The 21,450-nt window shown below is 35.5% G+C and overlaps 1 annotated feature.

Moving 5' to 3' along the window:
• Positions 14,633-14,780: a silencer, noted in NCBI's record as "fragment chr2:146248222-146248369 (GRCh37/hg19 assembly coordinates)". NCBI's record gives its function as "represses an EF-1alpha promoter that drives an FKBP-Casp9 reporter gene in an ReSE screen in K562 erythroleukemia cells {active_cell/tissue: K562}" and the evidence as "EXISTENCE:reporter gene assay evidence [ECO:0000049][PMID:32094911]".

Raw genomic sequence — 21,450 nt, forward strand, 5'->3', positions numbered from 1 at the left:
GTGCTTACATTACCAGTGATTTTCTTTTTTTTTTCTTTTTTTTCACCATCAGATGATTTATTCTTGCATGTTAACATCCTTTTCTTTCAACTGAAGACGTCCCTTTAACATTTCTTATAGGACTGGTCTGGTGTTAATGAAATCCCTCAGCTTTCGTTTGTCTGAAAAGGTCTTTATTTCTTCTTCATACTTTGAAGGAAATTTTGGTTGGATCCAGTATTTTAGGGTAGAAGTTTTTTCCTTCAGGACTTAAAATATGTCATGCCACTTTCTCTTGGCCTATAAGATTTCCACTGAAAAGTCTGTTGCCAGACATATTGGAGCTCCATTGTATGCTATTTGTTTCTTTTCTCTTGCTGTTTTTTTGGATCCTTTCTTTATCCTTGTCCTTTGGGAGTCTGATTATTAAATGCCTTGAGGTAGTCTTCTTTGAGTTAAATCTGCTTGGTGTTCTATCACCTTCTTGTACTTGAAAGTTAATATCATTCTCTAGGTTTGGGAAGTTCTCTGATATTATTCTTTTGAATAAACTTTTTATCCCTATCTCTTTCTCTGACTCCTCTTCAAGGCCAATAATTCACTATTTGCCCTTTTGGGGCTATTTTCTAGATCTTGTAGGCATGCTTCATTACTTTTTTATTCTTTTCTCTTTTGTCTCCTCTGACTATGTATTTTCAAGTAGCTTGTCTTCAGGCTTACTAATTCTTTCTTCTGGTTGATAATTTCTGTTATTAAGGGACTTGATGCATTCTTGACTATATAAATTGTATTTTTCAACTGTAGAATTTCTTCTTGATTATTTTTAATTATTTTAATCTCTTTGTTACATTTCTCTGATATAATTCTGAATTCCTTCTCTGTGTTACCTTGAATTTCTTTGGGTTTTCTCAAAACAGCTATTTTCAGTTCTCTGTCTCAAAGGCCACAGATCTGTTTCTTCAAGACTTGTTCCTTGTGTCTTATTTAGTTTATTTGGTGAGGTCATGTTTTCTCAGATGATCTTGATGATTGTTTATGTTTGTCGGTGTCGTGGCATTGAAAAATTAAATTTTTATTGTAGTCTTCACAGGCGTAGCTTATTGTGCCCATCCTTTTTGCGAAGGTTTTCCACATATTCCAAGGGACTTGGGCCTAAAGCCCAAAAATGCTGTAGTCTTTGCAGACTCATGGAGGTACTACCATGGTGGTCTTATATAAGATCTGGAAGAATTCTCTGAATTACCAGGCAGAGACTTGTTCTTTTCACTTACTTTCTCCCAAGCAAATGGAATCTCTTACTCTGTGCTGAGCTGCCTGGAACTAGGGGCATGCAAGCACCTCTGTGAACACCACCACTGGGACTGTACTGGGTCGGACCTGAAACCAGCTCAGTACTGGGTCCCACCCAAGGACTACTGTCATCACTACTTGGCTACCACCTATGTTAACTCAAGTCCCTAGGGCTCTACAGTCAACAGGTGGTGAAGCCAACCTGGTTTGTGTCCTTCTTTTTAGGGCAACGAGTTCTCTCTGGCCCTGGGTTGATCTGGATATGCTGTCTGGAAGTCAGAGATTAGAGTCAAAATTCTTAGAAGTTTAATTGATGTTCTATTCTACTGTGGCTAAGTTGGCACTCAAACCACAATCTGAAGTCCTTTCCACTTGTATCTCCCCTTTTCACAGGCAGCAGAGCCTCTCCCTGTGGCCACCACCACTGCCAGCCCATGAATTCATGAAGGAAACTAGTCAAACAAACTTTTTGGCAAAATGTGATAGTTTAATGAAGAAGTAGAATCATATGTATTTATCCAGAGAATCTTATTCTATAATGGAAACCACTGTATAAGTCTTTGGAAATGTTTTAAAACATTGGCCTGGTAGCTTTTTCAGAGCCTTGTATGTATAGGCTTTCATTTTATTAAAAAATAAGATGTCATGATATTACTTGGAAGGCTGGTGGGTAGATCAGCTAAATATTATACAGTTCGACTTTTTAAATTTCATTTTAAGGAAATTTTACCAATTATCCTAATAAACAAAATGTCAACATGGGTTATATTACTTTAGGCAAGAAACTACCTATGGAAATATATATTTAAACATAAACTCAACATACAGTATGTGACTGCACTTCGTTTGTTTTTTTGCCTTTGGTATGAACCACTGGGGCTCACCATTACTATCACATGCCAGAATTCTGCCCGACCACCACCAGTGTTTACAAAGAGCCCAAGGGCTATCAGTCAGCTTGTGTTGAATCCTGCCAGGCCTAGACTCAACCTTCAGGGAAATGGGCTCTCCTCTGTCCCAGAGCAGGTCCAGAAATGCAGTCCAGGAGCCTAGGTCTGGACTCAGGGACCAGAAGAGCCTGCTTGTTTCTCTACGCCACTATGGCTAAGCTAACACCTAAGCTGCAAGACAAATCCCCTTTACTTTTACCTCTGCATTTCTGAAATAAGATTTCTTTCACCATAGCCACCATAGCTAAGAATGTCCTGGATCACACCTGAAGTTAGCATGTCTCAGAGCCCAAGGCCTGTGGCATACTACCTGGGTATTGCTGCTGGTTATTCAGGGCCCAAGAGCTCTTCAGTCAGGAGGTGATGCATCCTGCCAGGACCTTCCCTTTAAGGCAGTGGGTTCTCTATGGCCCAGAGTGTGTCTAGAAATCTCATCCATGAGCTAGGGCCTGGAATGGGGGCCTCATGACTCTGCCTTACACTATTATGGCTGAGCTGGTATCAAAGATGCAAGACAAAGACCTCTTTGCTTTTCACTTTCCTCTCCTAAGCAGAAGGAAGGATTCACTTTTGTTTCTGTGAGCTGCACTGCCTGTAGTTGGGGTGGGAGTGGCATAAGCACTCCCTTAGCCACCCTATCTGGTGTCTCCCTAGGTCACGTGCTACGCTAGTCCATTGGCTCTGAGCCTAGCCCCGCACTAGGAGTTGCCCAGGAATTGCAGTCTTTGTGTCTTAGACCACCTTTCAAGTTTACATAGGACCCCAGAGCACATTGGCCCATGTAGGCCAGGCTTGCTGAGAAACTTGAGTTCCAGCCATGGGGATGGGTGACTCCCCCCTGGCTAGGTCTGGTCCAAATGCTCTCTCCATGCATGAGTGCTAGTTGAACTCAGCATGGCTTTGCTCTTCGCTGTGACAGGACTGGACTGAGTATAGTGTAAAGACCCTTAGTCACTGCAGTCTTCCTCTCCTATGTGCACAGTCTCTCTATGCCATATGGCTGCTGCCAGGGGATAGGGGAGGGGTGGCATCGGCAATTTAAGACTGTCTCTCCTACCCTCTTCAATGCTCTTTCAGCAATATAAACTTAAAGCCAGGGACTGTGATCACTCACCTGATTTTTGGTTCTTGTGATGGTGTTTTTATGCTGAGTTTTGCTGGATATTTGTACTGAGTTTTGCTGGATATTTTTCTAGTCTCTTCAGGGCTCACTCATGCCTCTTCCATAAGGCTGCAAGTTGGATGATTGTCAGCTTGGGCAACATGGCTCTCCTGTTTTATCAGACAAGAGGATATCCCTGGCTTGTTCACTTGGTTGCAATATTAGGGGTCCCCAGAGCAGGAGGAAGCATGGAAGGTTTCTCAAAGCTCAGACTTACAACTTGTACAACTTTGGTTCCCCAACATTATGTTCTTCATAGAGTCACTAGGCTAACTCAAATTCAATGAGTGGAAAAATACAGGAGAAAAGGAAGAAACTGTCCATTTTCTAAAATGAACACTTTTTAAAAACATTTGTACATTTTAAAAATATTCGTACATTTTAAAAATAAATATTTTTAATGGTTGCTTGCTAACATTTTTTTATATATTCATTTCATTGTGGTTTCTGTTCTCTCCCTTCAACCCTTATGTAAGTTAAATGTTACTTCCATGAGGGAGAGACCATATCTGTGTAGTTCTCATTATATGATTAGCAGAATACATATGTGTCATGGGCTATTGCCTTCAAAAACTTCCATAATATGCTGTATGAATTTTTAACATTATTATCATACACCTGTTTCACTGTTTGTTATAGACTCTCTTGGTCTTCTGTAACTTTTTGAGGGCAGTGACTTTATCTTACTCATATTTATAACCCTTGCACTGGGAACTGTGCCTAAATATAGTAAACTATTAATAATTCTTAATGATTACATGAATGATTGAATAAATTAATGTTCTCAAGCTTAATAAATACTTCTAAATAGGGAATCAAATTTAAAGTCAAGGAATGAACTCACCTATTTCACTAGAAATTTTAAGATTTTATTGCTTTATTTAATTCAAAGGCAACATTTTAAAAGAGAAAAAGCATAAATGTAACCTATTTTCTCATCTATGTCTCTCCCCTAAGGCCTGGTGAACTTATGTTGACCCACCTAGTTTTTCCCCTGAACTGTGCATATTTTTCAGTAATTAAACTAGCTTTTAGTTGAAACCATGGAACTTTCTTTGGTAGAATCATGAGATAATTAAGTGACCATATACCCAATTTGCCTGAGACATACCCAGTTTTGTGCTTGCTTTTTTGGTGTATTAATAATGCCCTCTTCTACTTCCAAAATTGTTGTGGCCAGGACCATAAATTACATGATTACCCTAAATACAGTCCATGCTTTGAATATGATGCCAATGGTAGCCTGAAGTTTAAAAATTCCTATCGTACTGTGAGTATACGTAACTATTTCAACTGGACCAAGTCACCTAATCTTACTGTCCCATTTTTTCACTATTATTCAACATTTTTGCATTACAGACATCAGAGAGAACTAGAAAGTACACCTCAACTAAAGGTCACCAGCGAATGGCTTGTGTATAAACAAATTCTTTTGTGCTATAGTTACCATAACCAATAAATAATTAATTAAGTAAATGGGAAGATTCCCCAGAGATTATGACAAAGTCATTGGGTTAAAATGCATGATAAAAATGGCACTGAACCTTTTACCTAGGGAGAGGAGACTTCCTTAGCCTTTCTGCACTTGTGCCTTCTTCTCTTTCACAGCTGACCTAGAGTGACAAAGAGTCTATGTCTTCTAATGGAGTTGGGCTCTGGGAATATGCTACTTAATTCTGTCCTGTGATAGCAATTGTGAGTCCCAGTGGTTCATACTAAAGGCAAAAGAATAAATGAAGTGCAGTCACATAGTGTGTGTTGAGTTCATGTTTAAATATATATTTCTATAGGTCGTTTCTTGCCTAAAGTAATATAACCCATGTTGCTATTTTAGTTATAGAGTAATTAGTAAAATTTCCTCAAAATAAAATTTAAAAAGTCAGACTGTACTATATTTAGCTGATGCACCCATCAGTCTTCCAAGTAAAATCATGATATCTTATTTTTTAATAAAATGAAAGTCTGTACATACAGGGCTCTGAAAGAGCTACCAGGCCAATGCTTTATAACATTTCCAAAGACTCATGCAGTGGATTCCATTATAGACTAAGATTCTCTGTATAAAAACATGAGATGCTACTTCTTCATTAAACTATCATATTTTGCCAAAAAGTTTGTTTGACTAGTTTCCTTCATGAACTCATGGCTTTTATGGTTGCTAATTTTTAAACCAACCTTCCTCCCTCCCTCCCTCCCTCCCTCCCTCCCTCCCTCCCTCCCTCCTTCCCTTCCTTCCTTCCTTCTTTCCTTTCTTCCTTCCTTCCCTTCCTTCCTTCTTTCCTTCCTTCCTTCCTTGCTTCCTTCCTTCCTTTTTTCTGTCTCTCCCCCTATATTTTGCTCTCTCTCTCCCTTATCTCCCTGTCTTTCTCTCCTTCCTCTCCTCCAGATTTTAAGTGAGTCTATTCAGGAAACAAACTCACAGTGCCAGAATAAGATATAGCTACAGATTCTCTGTGAGGAAAAATATGCTATGTGAGGATTTATATCCCATAATAATGAAATGCAGCACTGTAGCATGGCATGCTTTCACACAAAACCTTCACCATAAAATGCATGACTTTGGCGTTCAGAAAAATATGCAGATATCCATAGCCTATAGGTAGAGAAGCATATCAATATTTTAGCTTCTCTAATGCTTTTGAATAAAGACTTTATATTCGCTGTTTTCATTCCAAGCTTTTTCTCTTTATTTATTTTTGCTTTTCCCCGGAGAAGCACCATGAAGGGACTTCATGGCCTCACGCCTCTGGACTAGACATCATTTAAAGCTAAAGATAAAGAAAAAATAAGAACTGAACAACACAAAAAAGAATGAATTGATTTTTTCCTCAGCCATAATAATTACTCCTTACTTTTTAAAACACACAAAATAATTTTCCTTTTGTTTGTGATGGCCTTGATAATGAGCTTTTCACCACAATGGTTTAAAAAGTGACATTCATAGATAATACTTGGAAACTTTAAATAAAAGAAACTGTCGAGAACTGAAAAGAATAGAGTTTCATTCTGCTCCTGATCTTTGCTTTTTTTTTTCCATTTCTATCAATGCCTGTCCAGTGATACTTACCCGTCTTATCTAATGGCTGAGTCACTATCAGAAATAATAAAATCCACTCACACGAGGAAATATAAAAATGTGCGTTGTCATATTTGCTATTTTATAAATTTGAACTGCATGGCGCCCTTGTATTTGGTAACTGTCACTTGTCTCTAGACTCTGCTTTGAGTCAAAGAAAATTCAAGTCTCCATAATTTAGAATGGAAAAGGTAGCATAGCTTTGAAAATAGTTCAAAAACAATCATCTTAGGGAGCTATCCATCAGCTGTCATTTTCCTCTGAAATACCTGTATTTCCTCCTTGCTCTTGTGTCTGTTTGCCAGTAGGAGAACAATACAGTAGCCTGTATTTTTACTTATCAATAAATGTGAAACTGGATGCACATGATGTCTGTGTATTTTTCCCTTTTCATTTTTAATATCAGTTAACAAACTCTATGTGAGTGTTTAGTTGAAGAAGGATTGAAGAACATGGCAGTCAGGTAACATAACATTGAACACTAGATTTAGTTCATCATTATATTTTAAACTAAGTTTCCTTAGTCCCACACTTATTTGTAATAAACCCTAAGAAGTGGGGGAATAAAGGATACCTTTCTTTTCCTTCCCACAGGGAAGCAACTATTTTCTTATAAGCCATCAGAAGGGAGAAAAGCTGAATGAGATGAATCGAATTCCACTATCTTCATTTATGTATTTATTATTTTAATCCCTCATTCATTGAATCACATATTTATTTAATAAATATGGTCTAACCATGGTAGACTAATTTTTATTTTTTAAATTTTATTTATATATTTATTTTTGAGACAGAGTCTTGCTCTGTCGCCCAGGCCAGAGTGCGGTGGCGCGGTCTCAGCTCACTGCAAGCTCCACTTCCCGGGTTCACGCCATTCTCCTGCCTCAGCCTCCGGAGTAGCTGGGACTACAGGCGCCACGCCCGGCTAATTTTTTGTATTTTTAGTACAGACGGGGTTTCACCGTGTTAGCCAGGATGGTCTCGATCTCCCTACCTCGTGATCCGCCAGTCTCAGCCTCCCAAAGTGCTAGGATTACAGGCGTGAGCCACCGCGCCCGGCCCTAGACTAATTTTTAAAAAATTAGTTTAAAAAATTATGATAAGCTAAATTGTCTAGTGTACAATATTATGTTATGCACTGAAAAAGAGACATGGGACTTACCATTTAGGGTGACGGACAATAAACACTTAATCGAATATACCTGGAGTAGGTACTATTAGAACACAGATTTGTGGACCAGCAGGGCAGGGGCAGGCAGAATTGGCATTAGTTTAGATAAGATGGCTGAGAAAGCACACTTTGTGGAGGTAGCTTTGAGTTAATGCTTGATAAAGAAAGAGCAGGTGGTGGCTACATAAAGACTTGGAGAAAATGCCTTTTGAGAAGCAGGGAGAGCTGAGGTGATGGCACTTAGACTGGATGAAGCTTGGTCTGTTCAAGAAAGTGCAAGGATGCTGTGTGACTGGAAAATTGTCACTTCGGGGTCATGGAGGGAATGGAGACAAATGTTGAACAGGGGCTTTCTCGTGTAGCATCTTAAAGCTGTGACACTTCACTGGAAGCTATTACAGGATTTTATTAGCACAATGACAAGAAAATTCATCTATAGTTTAAAAGAATATTCTAGCTGTCAACTGGAGAGAACCTGTGCAGAGGCAAAGATTTCTTAAAGGAAGAATTCAGTCATAATGGTTTACTTATTTCACTTGAGATATGACTATAATTTGACAGATTTTTAAAAAACATATGTGAAATGTATATATTCAAAGATGCGTGGTGTTGTGAATCACAACCCTAAGAATATATTCTTATAACTCTAACAATATCACTTTTGAAAATAACAGATTTAAACATACTTTTGGGAGGAGTTCAGAGCCTGTACCTTTACCTAGAATGACGGCATGTTTTGTAACTTTGATTAGTGAATCTGATTTTTAAGAACAGAATAAAAACATTTGGAGTCTTATCTAGTGAACAGCATGGGTTAATAAAAAGGGTGATGTGTACTTTGGTGAGAACATGACTAACATTTTGTTTTTATTGTAAAAACATTTTCAAAGTTCAAGTTGCAAAAAAGTTTTAAGCAATTGCAATATCTTTGGAATAGGTGATCTCTTCTGCCCCCAGATGGTGATGGTTTTTCTCACCTCTAAGCTTCCAGTACAATTTAACCTTTATCTCCCATAAGAAATGAATCACTTGGGTGTGGTGTCTTACAAGCACTCTCATATTGTCTTCCTGGCAACACTGGAAACTATTGAGAGTGGAATCATGCTTTTTGCATTATTTATCTTTCTTGGTCCAGTGCAACTGGTACTTAGATGATCATCTTTACCTACCCAAGTCCCAACTCAGCTAACCTGAATAATTGTGCCATTTTCAAACTCAACTTTGCCCAGCCTTAGAATTCAGCAAAGCCTGGTCTGGTGACACTAGGACTCTCTGTTCACTAACTAGTGGAACTTGGAGAAAATCTCCATTGGAATGTGCAAGTTGATGGGACTAGAAAGACTAGAAGTAATTTCTTTGCCTTTCCTCTATATGTATTACTTTCTTTTACACATTTCTAATTTATTTTGTTTTCATTCTCTTGATTGCTTTTGTTTTCCAAAGTCTCTTGCCATAACTATATTTTCAGTCAAATCTAATTTTCCATGGGCACCTAATAATCTGATCTATGTTTCTGAGATAATTATGTCTTTTTCTTGGAATTTTTCATGATTTTAGTCAACTCTTATGTTATACATTTAGTTTTATCATTATTTCTCTTCTGATTTGGCATGGACTTTCATATCTGCCAAATAATGTTTGTTTAATTTATATTGTAGTATTGAGTTGCAGTTTTATTCTGTTTTCCAGTTTAGGTTTCTGTTAACACCTTAATCAATTGAATAATTTTGATTGCCACTTTCTGTTTTGTTTAGTTTTTTATGTGTCACTTTGCATGAGTTGTTCCTGCCATTTTGTTGTTATTCATTTTTAAATGTGATAGAGTTTTCAGGGCAAGCAATAAAAGGTGAAATATGGAAGGCTTGAGTAGTTACTAGACTTCTTAGTTTAGTAGAATTCTCTTTTATTGATATAGAGCAGTTTGATTTCTTTAACTAACTCTACATATTGGGAATGGGTTGGTGCATCTTCTGATTCTACAATCTATTTTTGTTTTGTTTTGTTTTATGGACCACTAAAGGATTGCTTGCTTTCTTCTTTTCTCTTCTTCCCAAATCTTCAAACTATTCCATTTCCTTCCAAATTGCTTCAATCTGCTCTAGAGTTTTACCTTCTCAGAATTGCCACCTCTAATCCCATGCACTTTCAAGCCAATTCCTTTTGAAGCCGTTAGAGTTCTAATCCATAAGGTGTCAAACCTGCTCCTGCTTTCCGTACATTTTCCCATCAGGATGGGATTGAATAATTCTGAGGGTTAGGTTTACTGAGTTGCATGACCTGCTGGTACTCTCCTCTTTTTTTGTGGAAGCTAAGACTGACTCAGCTTTCTGCCAGGGTGTCAGAGATTACTGCTAATTTCAGGTGTTTATTCTTGCACTTACATACAAATAGAAGTTTTTGTATTGTTTTCCCTGCTATGTTGTATTTGTGGGTTATAGGTGGATTTATCTGATATCCTTATTAAACGGTATTCTTTTTGGAAGATTTGTGGCTATGTGTGCTGTTACTTGGATTCAATTATCATGAAGAGCAGCAGTACAGTAACATTTAGAGCTATGTTATGAACTATTCTATTATTTATTTCATATTCACTTTAGAATACCTAACTTGACTATTTCACATGCTTGGACATACAGAAGATTTCCTTAGTTTTTTCCCTTTATTTGCAAAATACCTGATTCTATACTTATACACAGGTATTAATTTAACAATCACCTTCAAGAGGGCACTAATTATTTCAGCTAATTTTTCATGGCTCAATACATGTGTTAGATCCCAGCACAAAATGTACTCTAATAGATTTTGGACAGAAAAGTCATGCATTTGAGCCAATTATCTATGTTAGAAAACTCTTCTAAGTGGGTTTAAGCCAATGATACCTACTGAAAAATAACTCCATTGGGTCATGTGCCATCACCATTACTAAGCAACTATAAGAACCAACTATAATAACGTAATGCAGAAATTCACGGTCTAAGAAGGCAACCACTGTGTGGCAGACAGAACATGAACTTTGACATCAAATTGAATTATTTCATTTTAGATTTGCCACTTATTAGGCCCGTTCAAAATTAGTTATTCTGTCTCAGTTTTTAATTTTAATTGTAAAATAGATGTAATAATACCTGCTTCATAGAATCCTTGTTATATATAAATGAGATAATATATTGAAAACACTTAGCAAATTATTAGGTAGAAAATATACATTCAAAATTTTTTTTGTATCTTCCCCCTTGGAGAAATGGTAACTGCGTAAAAGATCATGGTTCTGCCATCACTTTCTAGTTCTTACAATCTTTTAATTTATAGAATTATTAATTTCTCTGATATGAGAATAAGTGATCACCATATTTTAAGTGGTTTATTAATAATTCACAAACAAGAATATTGTAGTAATTGACTATTTGATGTTAAGGATTCTAATTGTTACAAATTATGCATATGATATCCAATATCTACAAGGAACTCAAACTAATAAAAAAAAATTAAAAAGCGGGCAGAGGACATGAATAGACATTTCTAAAAAGAAGATATACAATGGCCAATAAATATATGAAAAAATGCCCAACATCACTAATCATCAGGGAAATGCTAATTAAAACTGCAATGAGATACCACCCTACCCCTGCCAGAATGGCCATTATTAAAAAGTCAAAAACGGTAGATATTGGTGTGGGTATGGTGTACACTGCTAGTGGGAATGTAAATTAGTGCAACCTCTTTGGAAAACAGCATGGAGATTTCTCAGAGAACTAAAAGTAGATCTACTATTCAATCTAGCAATCTGAATACTGGTATCTTCTCAAAGGAAAAAAAGTCACGATATCAAAAAACACCTGCGCGCATATGTTTATCACAGCACAGTTCACAAATGCAAAGATATATAATCAACCTAAGTGCCCATTAACCAGAATGGATAAAGAAACTGTGGTATATATACACCATGGAATACTATTCAGCCTCAGAAAACAAAGTAACTTTTTTTTTTTTTTTTTTTTTTGCAGCAACTTGGATGGAACTGGAGGCCATTATTCTAAATGAAGTAACTCTGGAATCAAACACCAGATATTGCATCTTCTCTTATAAGTGGGAGCTAAATTATGGGTGCATAAAGGCATACAGAGTACTATAATGGACATTGGACATGTAGAAGCGGGGAGAGTGGGAAGGGGGTGAGCGATGAAAAACTACCTAGTTGGTACAATGTACACTACTCAGGTGATGAGTACCATAACACAATTCATCCGTGTAATCAAAAACAACTTGTACCCCTAAAGCTATTGAAATTAAATAGTAATAAAATAAAATAAAAAGGATTGTGATTTCCAACCTCAAACTGGGGAAACATAGTAAAAAGGATTTGCTCCCAACTCTAGTTGCTGGGGGAATTCCAATTACTTTGTTCTCTACCAATTAAATTAAATCTTTATACATCAAAAAGGTATTTTCTAAAAGTTTCTCATCACATGTGCAAAGGTATAATACCTTAAATGAAGTAATTTTGAATTAAACAAATGAATAGAGCTGTTAGTGGGATTTATAGTACCCAAGAATCATCTCAGAATGTACTTCACAGATTGCTTCCTTATATTACAGAATGAATACGATTTTATATCTGAAGAAACAAATCTGCACATTAAGTAATCAATGTTTCTCATGATACACACTTGGTATTATTTCTGGGAATACTAAAGCTGGCATAACCTAGTTAAAATAGTACAATTTATTTAACTACATGCAAGTCCTTTTGGAGTAAAAACTGCTGCTTACTACATGTGAAGAGAAACAATGACCTTCCTGCTTTGGGAATTCTCAAAGGTATTTAACAAAATTTTTATTTAAAATTACTTTTTGCTCTACTCCCCCTCAAAGCCCTGTTACATAATTCCTCTGTCTACTTGAATGCCTCTTAGATTTGAAAAACAAAAAGTGGGGAAAGGGTGAAAGGAGAAGAGGGATATAAAGGCACATTCAGTCACAGAATCTGTACAGAAAAATCCTCAACAAGCAGAATGGATTGAAAAATTCAAGCATGACTAAAAAGTACATTCCCCACTAGTCAGTAGATTTTGCTTCCTATTTGTCACTGCCACCTTGGAGAGCGGGGAGCATTAATAATGCATGGGTGCTAGGAATGTATTAGCAACTAACCTTGCGAAGAAAATCAGCTGGGGACCCAGTGTGTGTGTGTGTGTGAAAGAGAGAGACAGAGAGAGAAAGGCAGAGTGAATGTGCACACATACTCTAGAGTATCCTTATTTATTGAAAAGATCTGGAGAGCAGTGTCAGGTTCATACGCAACTATGTATCATTGTAAAGGAAAGCTGGAAATCCTTGGAATGGGGCCATAATTGAGTTCATTGATCACACTCATGAATTTCTATCAGGGCACTGTATTGCCTACTCTTTATGTAACACAAAGAAATTTCCTTGGGAAGGTAAATGTATTTATACATTTAGGCAAATACAAAGTTTTAGTACGTTATGTCTTATGTATCTGTCTTACAGAAACCTGAGCAAGTGTATTTCTTAAATATGTTCTGTGCGATTTGAAATCTACTTTAGGATGTAGTATCTACCACAGATATATTTATTGTGATATGTGGATGTCAATTCTGATTCTAGAATTCCCACTTAAAAAAAATAAACAAGCAAATGAACAAACATCCAAAAACTTACTAGCTCAGAATAGTGAGGTTGCTCCTGCCCTTAAAATAAACCTTATTTTTTAAAATGCATTTGAAAATCTTTTTCTAGCTACTTCGAACTGAAACCAACTCAGTTTCTGTGAAGTTACAACTTGTCTGTGAAGATGCCACCATATGACTGCTTAGCCCTGCTGACTCTGGGCTTCAGCCTAATGTGGGGCTTCTCCCCAGAGAATGCGCCATGCTCTGTCCCTAGCACTCCCCCTTAACCGCATCATCTCACCCAGTATCAATGACTTATCAAACTATTGAATTGATTGTGGAAGAAGATAGATAATAATGAACCAAAGGAATACATTTGTAAAATATTTATATTTTAAGCCAACAGCCTTCAATTCAAAATATTAAATTATTACACAGGGGTTTGAATTTTCATATCTAAAGATTTTTTACTAAAAATATTTGTTAATATGAAAATATGTGAACATGGAATGTTTTAATTTATTTACTATTGGGTTTTTATTATGATTTTTTGAAACTTTATTTATGGCAAAATGTCAAACATACTGAAAAGTTGAAATATTTTTCATGTATTTCAATATATTTCATATATTCATTGGGTAGTTTGTACAATTAACATGTTACTCTACTTGCTTAATCACGTGTCTAATCATCCCTTTCCCATTCATCTATTTTAATATTTTTTTACATGTCAAAGTAAGTAGCAGATACTACTATACTTCCTCCTGGATTGTTTGGCATTCACATCATTTGCTAGAATTCAATATTTGTTTATACTTCTTTTGATAAAAAATTTATATACAGTGAAATACCCAAGTCATAAACATATGTCAATAGGCTCTATGAAATGCATACAATTGTGTAACATAAATCTCTTCCAAGATAGAGTATTATCAACTTATTATTTTCTTAGCTTCTTGACACTATTTAATTTTGAAGAAAAAGTTAAGCCCAAATACTACAGCTAATAGATTTGCCCACAAAAAGTATTTAATCATTATTTAAGAAGACCGGATTTTGGCATCCTAAGAGGATCATGTGATTAAGATATGAAGATTGGAAAAGAATTGCTTCCCTACCACTTTCTCATATTCATTGCAATTGCTCTCTTGAGATATGAGCAATTTCACCCTATTATTTTCTTTTTTTTTTTTTTTTTTTTTTTTTTTTGAGACGGAGTCTCGCTCTGTCGCCCAGGCTGGAGTGCAGTGGCGCGATCTCGGCTCACTGCAAGCTCCGCCTCCCGGGTTCACGCCATTCTCCTGCCTCAGCCTCCCGAGTAGCTGGGACTACAGGCGCCCGCTACCACGCCCGGCTAATTTTTTGTATTTTTAGTAGAGACGGGGTTTCACCGTGTTAGCCAGGATGGTCTCGATCTCCTGACCTCGTGATCCGCCCACCTCGGCCTCCCAAAGTGCTGGGATTACAGGCGTGAGCCACCCATTATTTTCTTAACAGTTTCTGTTGAACTTAATTAAAGTTTTATCAATTCTTCTTTAATTATTATCATTATCATTATTATTATTTCCCTTAATTTCTCATTTGGGAAAGCATCCCAGAACAATTTCATTTTTTTTTAACCAACTTCCCCTTAACTATTTTTCCTCCTCCCTCCCCTTAACCCTATATGCACATATACATTCAAAGAAAGCCTAATGGAATAGTTACCAAATTAATTCATGTTACTTAAAGCATACACAATACATACAAAATAAATCTTTTTACACAAGGAAGTTCTGAGATGAATGAATAAATGGTACAGAAATTACTTGAGTCACATTTATTTGTGTTAGTTGATATTCTTTGAAGCAAATTACAAAATACTAGATTGAGCTGTGTTTTCAGAAATGCATTTCAAGATTTACTATCAACTGTTTCATGTGGGAAAATATGTATATTTCCCTAAGTAAAAAAAATAATTTTTTAATAAAAAAATTCCTGAAAGCATTTATAAGCACCCACTCATATAAAGACACATAAACACACAATACTGAGACTTCTTATTCCTCAGAAAAGAACACTTTAAAGATTTAGAAACCATCTAATATGTACCCATTGAAACAAATGATCTTTATTAAAACCTCCATCATGTGCCCATTCAAACCGGATTCTCTACAACGTAGCTAATGTATTTTTTGAAAAGAAAGTAACCATTGGAAATAACTGATAGCCTGCACATTTTGTTAACATCTTCCAATATTTTAACAGAAATTCAATTTCTTTGACTTTAAGTGAGAAATTGTAATTAATTCATTCTTCCCATGGGGGACAGAAATGTATGGAACCTGGCCTTACTTTCCCTGCTAGGTGATTTTAGCTGATAGGTTGAGATTTCTTTATTGCTGACTTAAAAATACGAATACTTTGGGGTTTTCCATGTAATCCCATTAGGATATTATCCAATTTCTCTTCACATTTTTGTTTTTAATTGCTGAACTGATGTAATCCCAGTATTTCTTTTTGGGATACATTTCAGCAATTTATTTAAACAAGAAAACTAGCATCCAAAAGAAGTATTAACCAGAAAAGTTCAATTCAAAAAATCTTTATGGCAAAATCATGAGCCACCTGGAAGCTGAAAGATGTGCAATTAATAGGAACAAGAGCTACAGTTCTCCTAGCAGCTAAATTCCAAGGTGATCCACTTATTCCCTCCTTAGAGTGTGCTACCGTGCAAAGGTCCTAACAAGTTTTCTTGCTTCACAAAATTGTGGGTTAATAAGCTGTTAATTTTTCATTAAAATTATTCTAGTAGTAAAATTGGTAGCTAAGACATTTGTCAGTCCATTAAAATGTATATTAATTCAAAAATGTAAAAAATCAAATTCATTTTGCAAAAGATGGTGCACGAAATATAAAATTTAAGCAGAACAAGAGGAATATGGAGTGCTGGGAAGGGATATGGGTTGCAGTTTTAAAGAGGGTAGAATATCATCTTGATTGAAAAGCTAACATCTGAGTAACAACTAGAAGGAAGTAAGAGACTGAACTATATTGATATTGGGGAAAGTTCTTCTGAACAAAATCTCTAAGCACCTCTGGTCCCCAAATTAATGGGACTGCCAGCGGGCTTACAAGCGATATATGGGGGTTAATTATACATGGTAAACTCTACTTGTCAATATCCCCACAATAACACTTTCTCCTTAATATGCACACACACATTCACAAAAACACACAGAGAGAGTGAAAGTGTCGCAGGCTATAATATATATCCAGGCAAACAACTAAATATTTATCTTTGAAATGAATAAGACAAGAATTCCAGGGATAGCCAAAAAATGCTCTACTCCATTTCAATGCCTTAAAATAAAGCCCCTTTTATTTTGACAGATGTTGGATTGCAGCCCCAAAGCCTGCACAAAAGACCACTGCTGAACACAAAGCAAAAAAGGGAGAGTGAATCCATTCATGGCTTCCACTCAGAATCACTACCAAGAGAAGAGACCTAGCAAAAATCAAATGCATTAACAAGAGTATTGGGGCTATAGTGCATCCAGAAAACACAAATGTAATTGTAGAAAGAAATGTTGTTAGACAAATAAAACCTCTTAGAGATTTTTTTTAAAAGGGCTGTTAAAAAATTCAACATGATTATAAATAGAGAAATAATTCAAAAACAAAAGAATTAGAAAATATGAAACACAAACACATGAAACTAGATGTTTATTTGTTCCACAAATGAAAAAAGGGATGTGAGAAGACATGTTCAGCAACATAAAAGGTCTCCATGATTACTCTGCTCAATGAGGATGAAAGGATTAATGAATATACATATTATGGCAAAATGTCAAAACATTAACGATAAACAGAATACCTTAAAAACTTGTAGAGAAGAAAAAAGTTATAAAAAACAAAATACATATAAAAAATAGAATTATTCTAGCATAATAAATTTTTTCAAAGCCAATGGATGCTCGATGAAAAAGGTACAATGCTTTTAAAATTTTATACCCAGAAAAACTGTCATTCAAGTAAAATAAAATCATGAAGATTTTCAACATGCAAGGCCACATAACATTTATCGTTCATACATTTCTCTTAGGGGAATACTGGAAGATAAATTACAGTCAAAGGAGAGAATAAATCCCAAAAGAGGAAGGCAAGTAGTCCAGGAAACAATGACTACAAGTCTGCAAACTTTGAAGAATAGCCTGAAAGAAGCCTCTGTAACACATTAGAAGGCAATTGTTCCCAATTGGAGAAGGCTTATAGCCTTCAGTGAAAAGGTTGCTAAGGAAAAGGGAGCCTTGAAGAAGGAGAAATTGTGATTGAAAGGTTAGGATAATTTGTGAATAGGAAAATGTCAGATGACAGATAAAAAGAAAATTAGAAAAGCCCAGGTAAACAACATGCAATAAAAATATAGAAGAAAGTCATGGTCCAAGTATAAAGCAAATTAAAATGAAGTATGCTTTAAAACAATTGAGAGCTAAAATAAGAAGAACACATTTTAATTTTAAATATTTGTTCATTTATATCCAATTGGCTCAAGAAAATAACACTGTGCACGTAACAAATGAGAAGTATCTTAATAGAGAACTTAGCCCCTTGTTTAACAATATTTACTACTTCCTATTATTATTGAAAGTGCTATTTATAGGTAAGAGAGCCAATCTACTGTCAAGGTATGGGAGACTAGGTTGTGATTGCAAGATGAAAATAATATGTTTCAACTTATACCTTCTATACCTAACACAGAGTCCATAATAAATATGACTCCTCATTAATATTTGAAGAATAAATAAATACATAAACTTCAACGGTGGAGAAGTACAATTGAGAGAAGATAAGATGTAACAAAACGGAAGAAAGGAAGAGGAAAATGTAGTCTCCAATTTACAAAATGTGGAGTCAGAAACTATTGAAAGAGGAACAAAAAATATGGCTTTTAATATATCATTTAAATTACAATAGCAACTAATGAAAAACTAAGAATAATAAAGTCACTCAAACAATAGAATGCAAAGGGGAAATTGTTAATATAGAGTAAATACTCTTATTCCATATCATGAAGTCAATAGATATTTTTCTGGAAGAGGTGTAAGTATATTATCAAAAATTATAAGAATTCCTTTCAGAAAAATGAAAGTTATAAGTATTAGATTATACCAAGTGAAAGAAGCCAGGCACAGAATGCCAAATATTGTATGATTCCATTTATATAAAATATCCAGAATAGGTAAATCTATAGAGACAGAATGTGATTTGGTGGTTGCCAAGACTGGAGTAAGGGACAGTGTGAGCAGCAGTTTAATGGGTGTGGGGCTTCATTTAGGAGTGATGAAATTTTGGGGGGATCTAGAGGGAGGTGGTGATTGCACAATACTGAGAAGGTACTAAATGCCACTGACACGTTCATTTGAAAATGGTGAGTTTTATGTTATATGAATTTCACCTCAAAAAAAATTCTAACTACTAAAAAAAAAAATGAGTGTAGGACTGGGGAGGTAAGCAAAGAAGCCAGAGACTGTTGATTATCACCATGTATTTATTTATACTATGGAATGTTATCTTATGCATGCATTATTTTAATAATTTTTTTAAAAAAATGTTTTAAATAATACAAATCCAGCCCAGAACAGGGGGATAAAGTTTTCTTTCTTAAGAGAATAGAGGAAATGAAACAGTAAAATGTTGTCCAGTTTATTAGATTGTAAATTGATGCAAATATGCTTGCAAGATAATCTTTTTACTTTCAGAAGATATAAATGGATTTCAGCTATTTTTTTCGATTATATGCTTATGGAATTAAATGAATGCATATATATTTCAGATAAGTATGATAAGAAATCTATAAAATGAGCATCAAATGTACTTCTTTAATTCACCATAATCCAACTGTAATCTGCACTCAAAGCTTTGTGTGTTAATTATGAAGTGATATGAATCTCTGCATTTCCTTTATACTTGCCTTTTAATAGTGACTTGGTAATATCTGCTAATGGGCTTTGTTGTCTGATGAACTGAATTACTGTGTTCTCTGCAAAGGACTCTGCTAAATGGTCCAAGATATTTGTGAAATTAACCTCCATTTAAACATTAGAATTGGGGAAAGAGCATGAAAAGATTACCTCTGTTGGCAAAGAAAAATCAATGTTTTATAATTTTCAAGAAAATAAAGCAGTTCTAAGTTTTTCATTCCTTATTTTATTTGCACTTAAAGCAAAACTAGAAAAGCAATTTCATGATTTTAAAAAAGAAAAAATAATATTATCTGGCTCTAACTCTTTGAATCTAGTTATTTCTTTTAAAATTAAAATTTTGCCTTCAAAGTGTCGCTATTTCAACCTGTGCAAGTAAAGTTACTCATAAACACACTGTAGAATATTATTTTTTTCAAGGAAGCAAATTTTGTCCTAATTTACAGTAGTGAAATCATCTAAATATGCACATTTCCAAATTCTCAAGATTCGTAAGAGGAACTTAATGAAATGGAAATCTCATTGGTAATTATACTCAGCTCAGCCTGGGAGTTCATGGTGCTGTCAGCCTGTGTGGTCATGGGTAGCTAAGCAACACAGCCAACTAGCACCTTTGTGGAGGATATTTTTAGCTTCATTGCACATTTTTCATTTATCTATTGGAGATTGATTTGTTTTGCAATTTATTTTGAAATTCCATTGCTTAAAATGAAAAGTATCCCATCGCACCAGAAGGAAACATACAAGTGGGAATAAAAAAAGACAAATAATCTCCATGATTTGATATACAAACAATATAAATACTGTAGGAGAGTCAAACATTACACTAAAAAAATACTTTTGAGGCTTTGGAAATACTTTCTTATCAATAAATAAGAGTTGAGTTTTCCGTTCATGGGTGAAGGCACTGACATCAAGAGCTAGATAGCTTAATTTGTTTCTAAACTCAAATTAGTATCTTAGTGACAAGTCCATGATTGCTTAGTAAATAGAGTATGAATGAGACTTTAGGATTATGTTCCTTTGGCAAACAGCATTTCCAGGGGAGACAAGAAAGGTAACAAGTTGTCACAAATCTTAAATGTCAGAGTAGCAATGGGCAGAAAGCTTTTTGGAGTAGTTAATGGCATTTCCAGACCCTTGTGCTCCTGTGCAGCACCTGGAAGAGTGCTGATGGCCACAAAGCACTTTTACTCCATCAGGTCACACTTGTCCATTTCCACCCACTAGGTCTGATTGGGAGAGTTCTCCTTAAGGTAACCTGTTATTCACATAACCCTGATAGGAAACTGCATGGCTTCGAGAGAAAACAAACACCCAAGCCACCAATCAACCAGACCTGATATCTAGAATTGACAATAATGGAGAGTTCAAGTACCAGCTCCATGGATGAATATCCCTATGTTCCTGAATTAGATGCTTACTGTCTCTCTAGTTTGAATCTTCACCGGTAATGGAATGATATTTTTACCCTTTAGAGAGCTTCGAGAAATTAATGAAGTGCCTAAAATATCTAGCACACATTAAGCAACTTAATGTGGTCCAACTTTGTCCCCACCCTTTGTAACCATACATAGTAATTGAGTACTAATGATTTAGATATTTGTTATGTCTTACCTGTTTTCATTAATCCAACCTTGGGTGCTACCAACTCTTGAGCATTAGCTATATTTTCTTAAGAAGAACAATACATTTTCCAGTAGGAAAACTTGCTATTTCTATATAAAATTGAAAGTTGACTTGGGCTACTGAATATAAGTAAGGGTTTTATAAGCTTCTATCTCTCATCATTTAAAATCTATTGATCATTTTAAATTTTAAAATATTTCTAAAATACATTCTCTGTTTCATTTAAATATGATTATCATTTGCTTGATAGAGTAAAATACTCTTTTAAAGGATCCCATTTATAAGGATTTCCTATGTGTTTGATTTGAAGGCCTAGAATCATGACCCATTTTCCTGGGTTGTGTTCTTGGTAGTATTCAGTGTGCTCTTTGCATAATATCTTAATGGGTGGGAGATGTTCCCTACATAAATTGGACAACTCCATGGTTCTCTGTGTGAATTGATAGTGGAGACAGTGATTTTCCACCAGCATTTGTGGTTGGTGAATGTGAGCATATAGGAACCCTGGGATGGTCATGTAAAGTCTCTGGCCTCTATTAGCATATAAGTGAAGTGAAGTGAAGTGAAGTGGGAGAAGCCTGGTTGAACTGGGAGCAGTGA

Source organism: Homo sapiens, chromosome 2 (genome assembly GCF_000001405.40).
Source record: "Homo sapiens chromosome 2, GRCh38.p14 Primary Assembly".
NCBI classification, from domain to species: domain Eukaryota; kingdom Metazoa; phylum Chordata; class Mammalia; order Primates; family Hominidae; genus Homo; species Homo sapiens.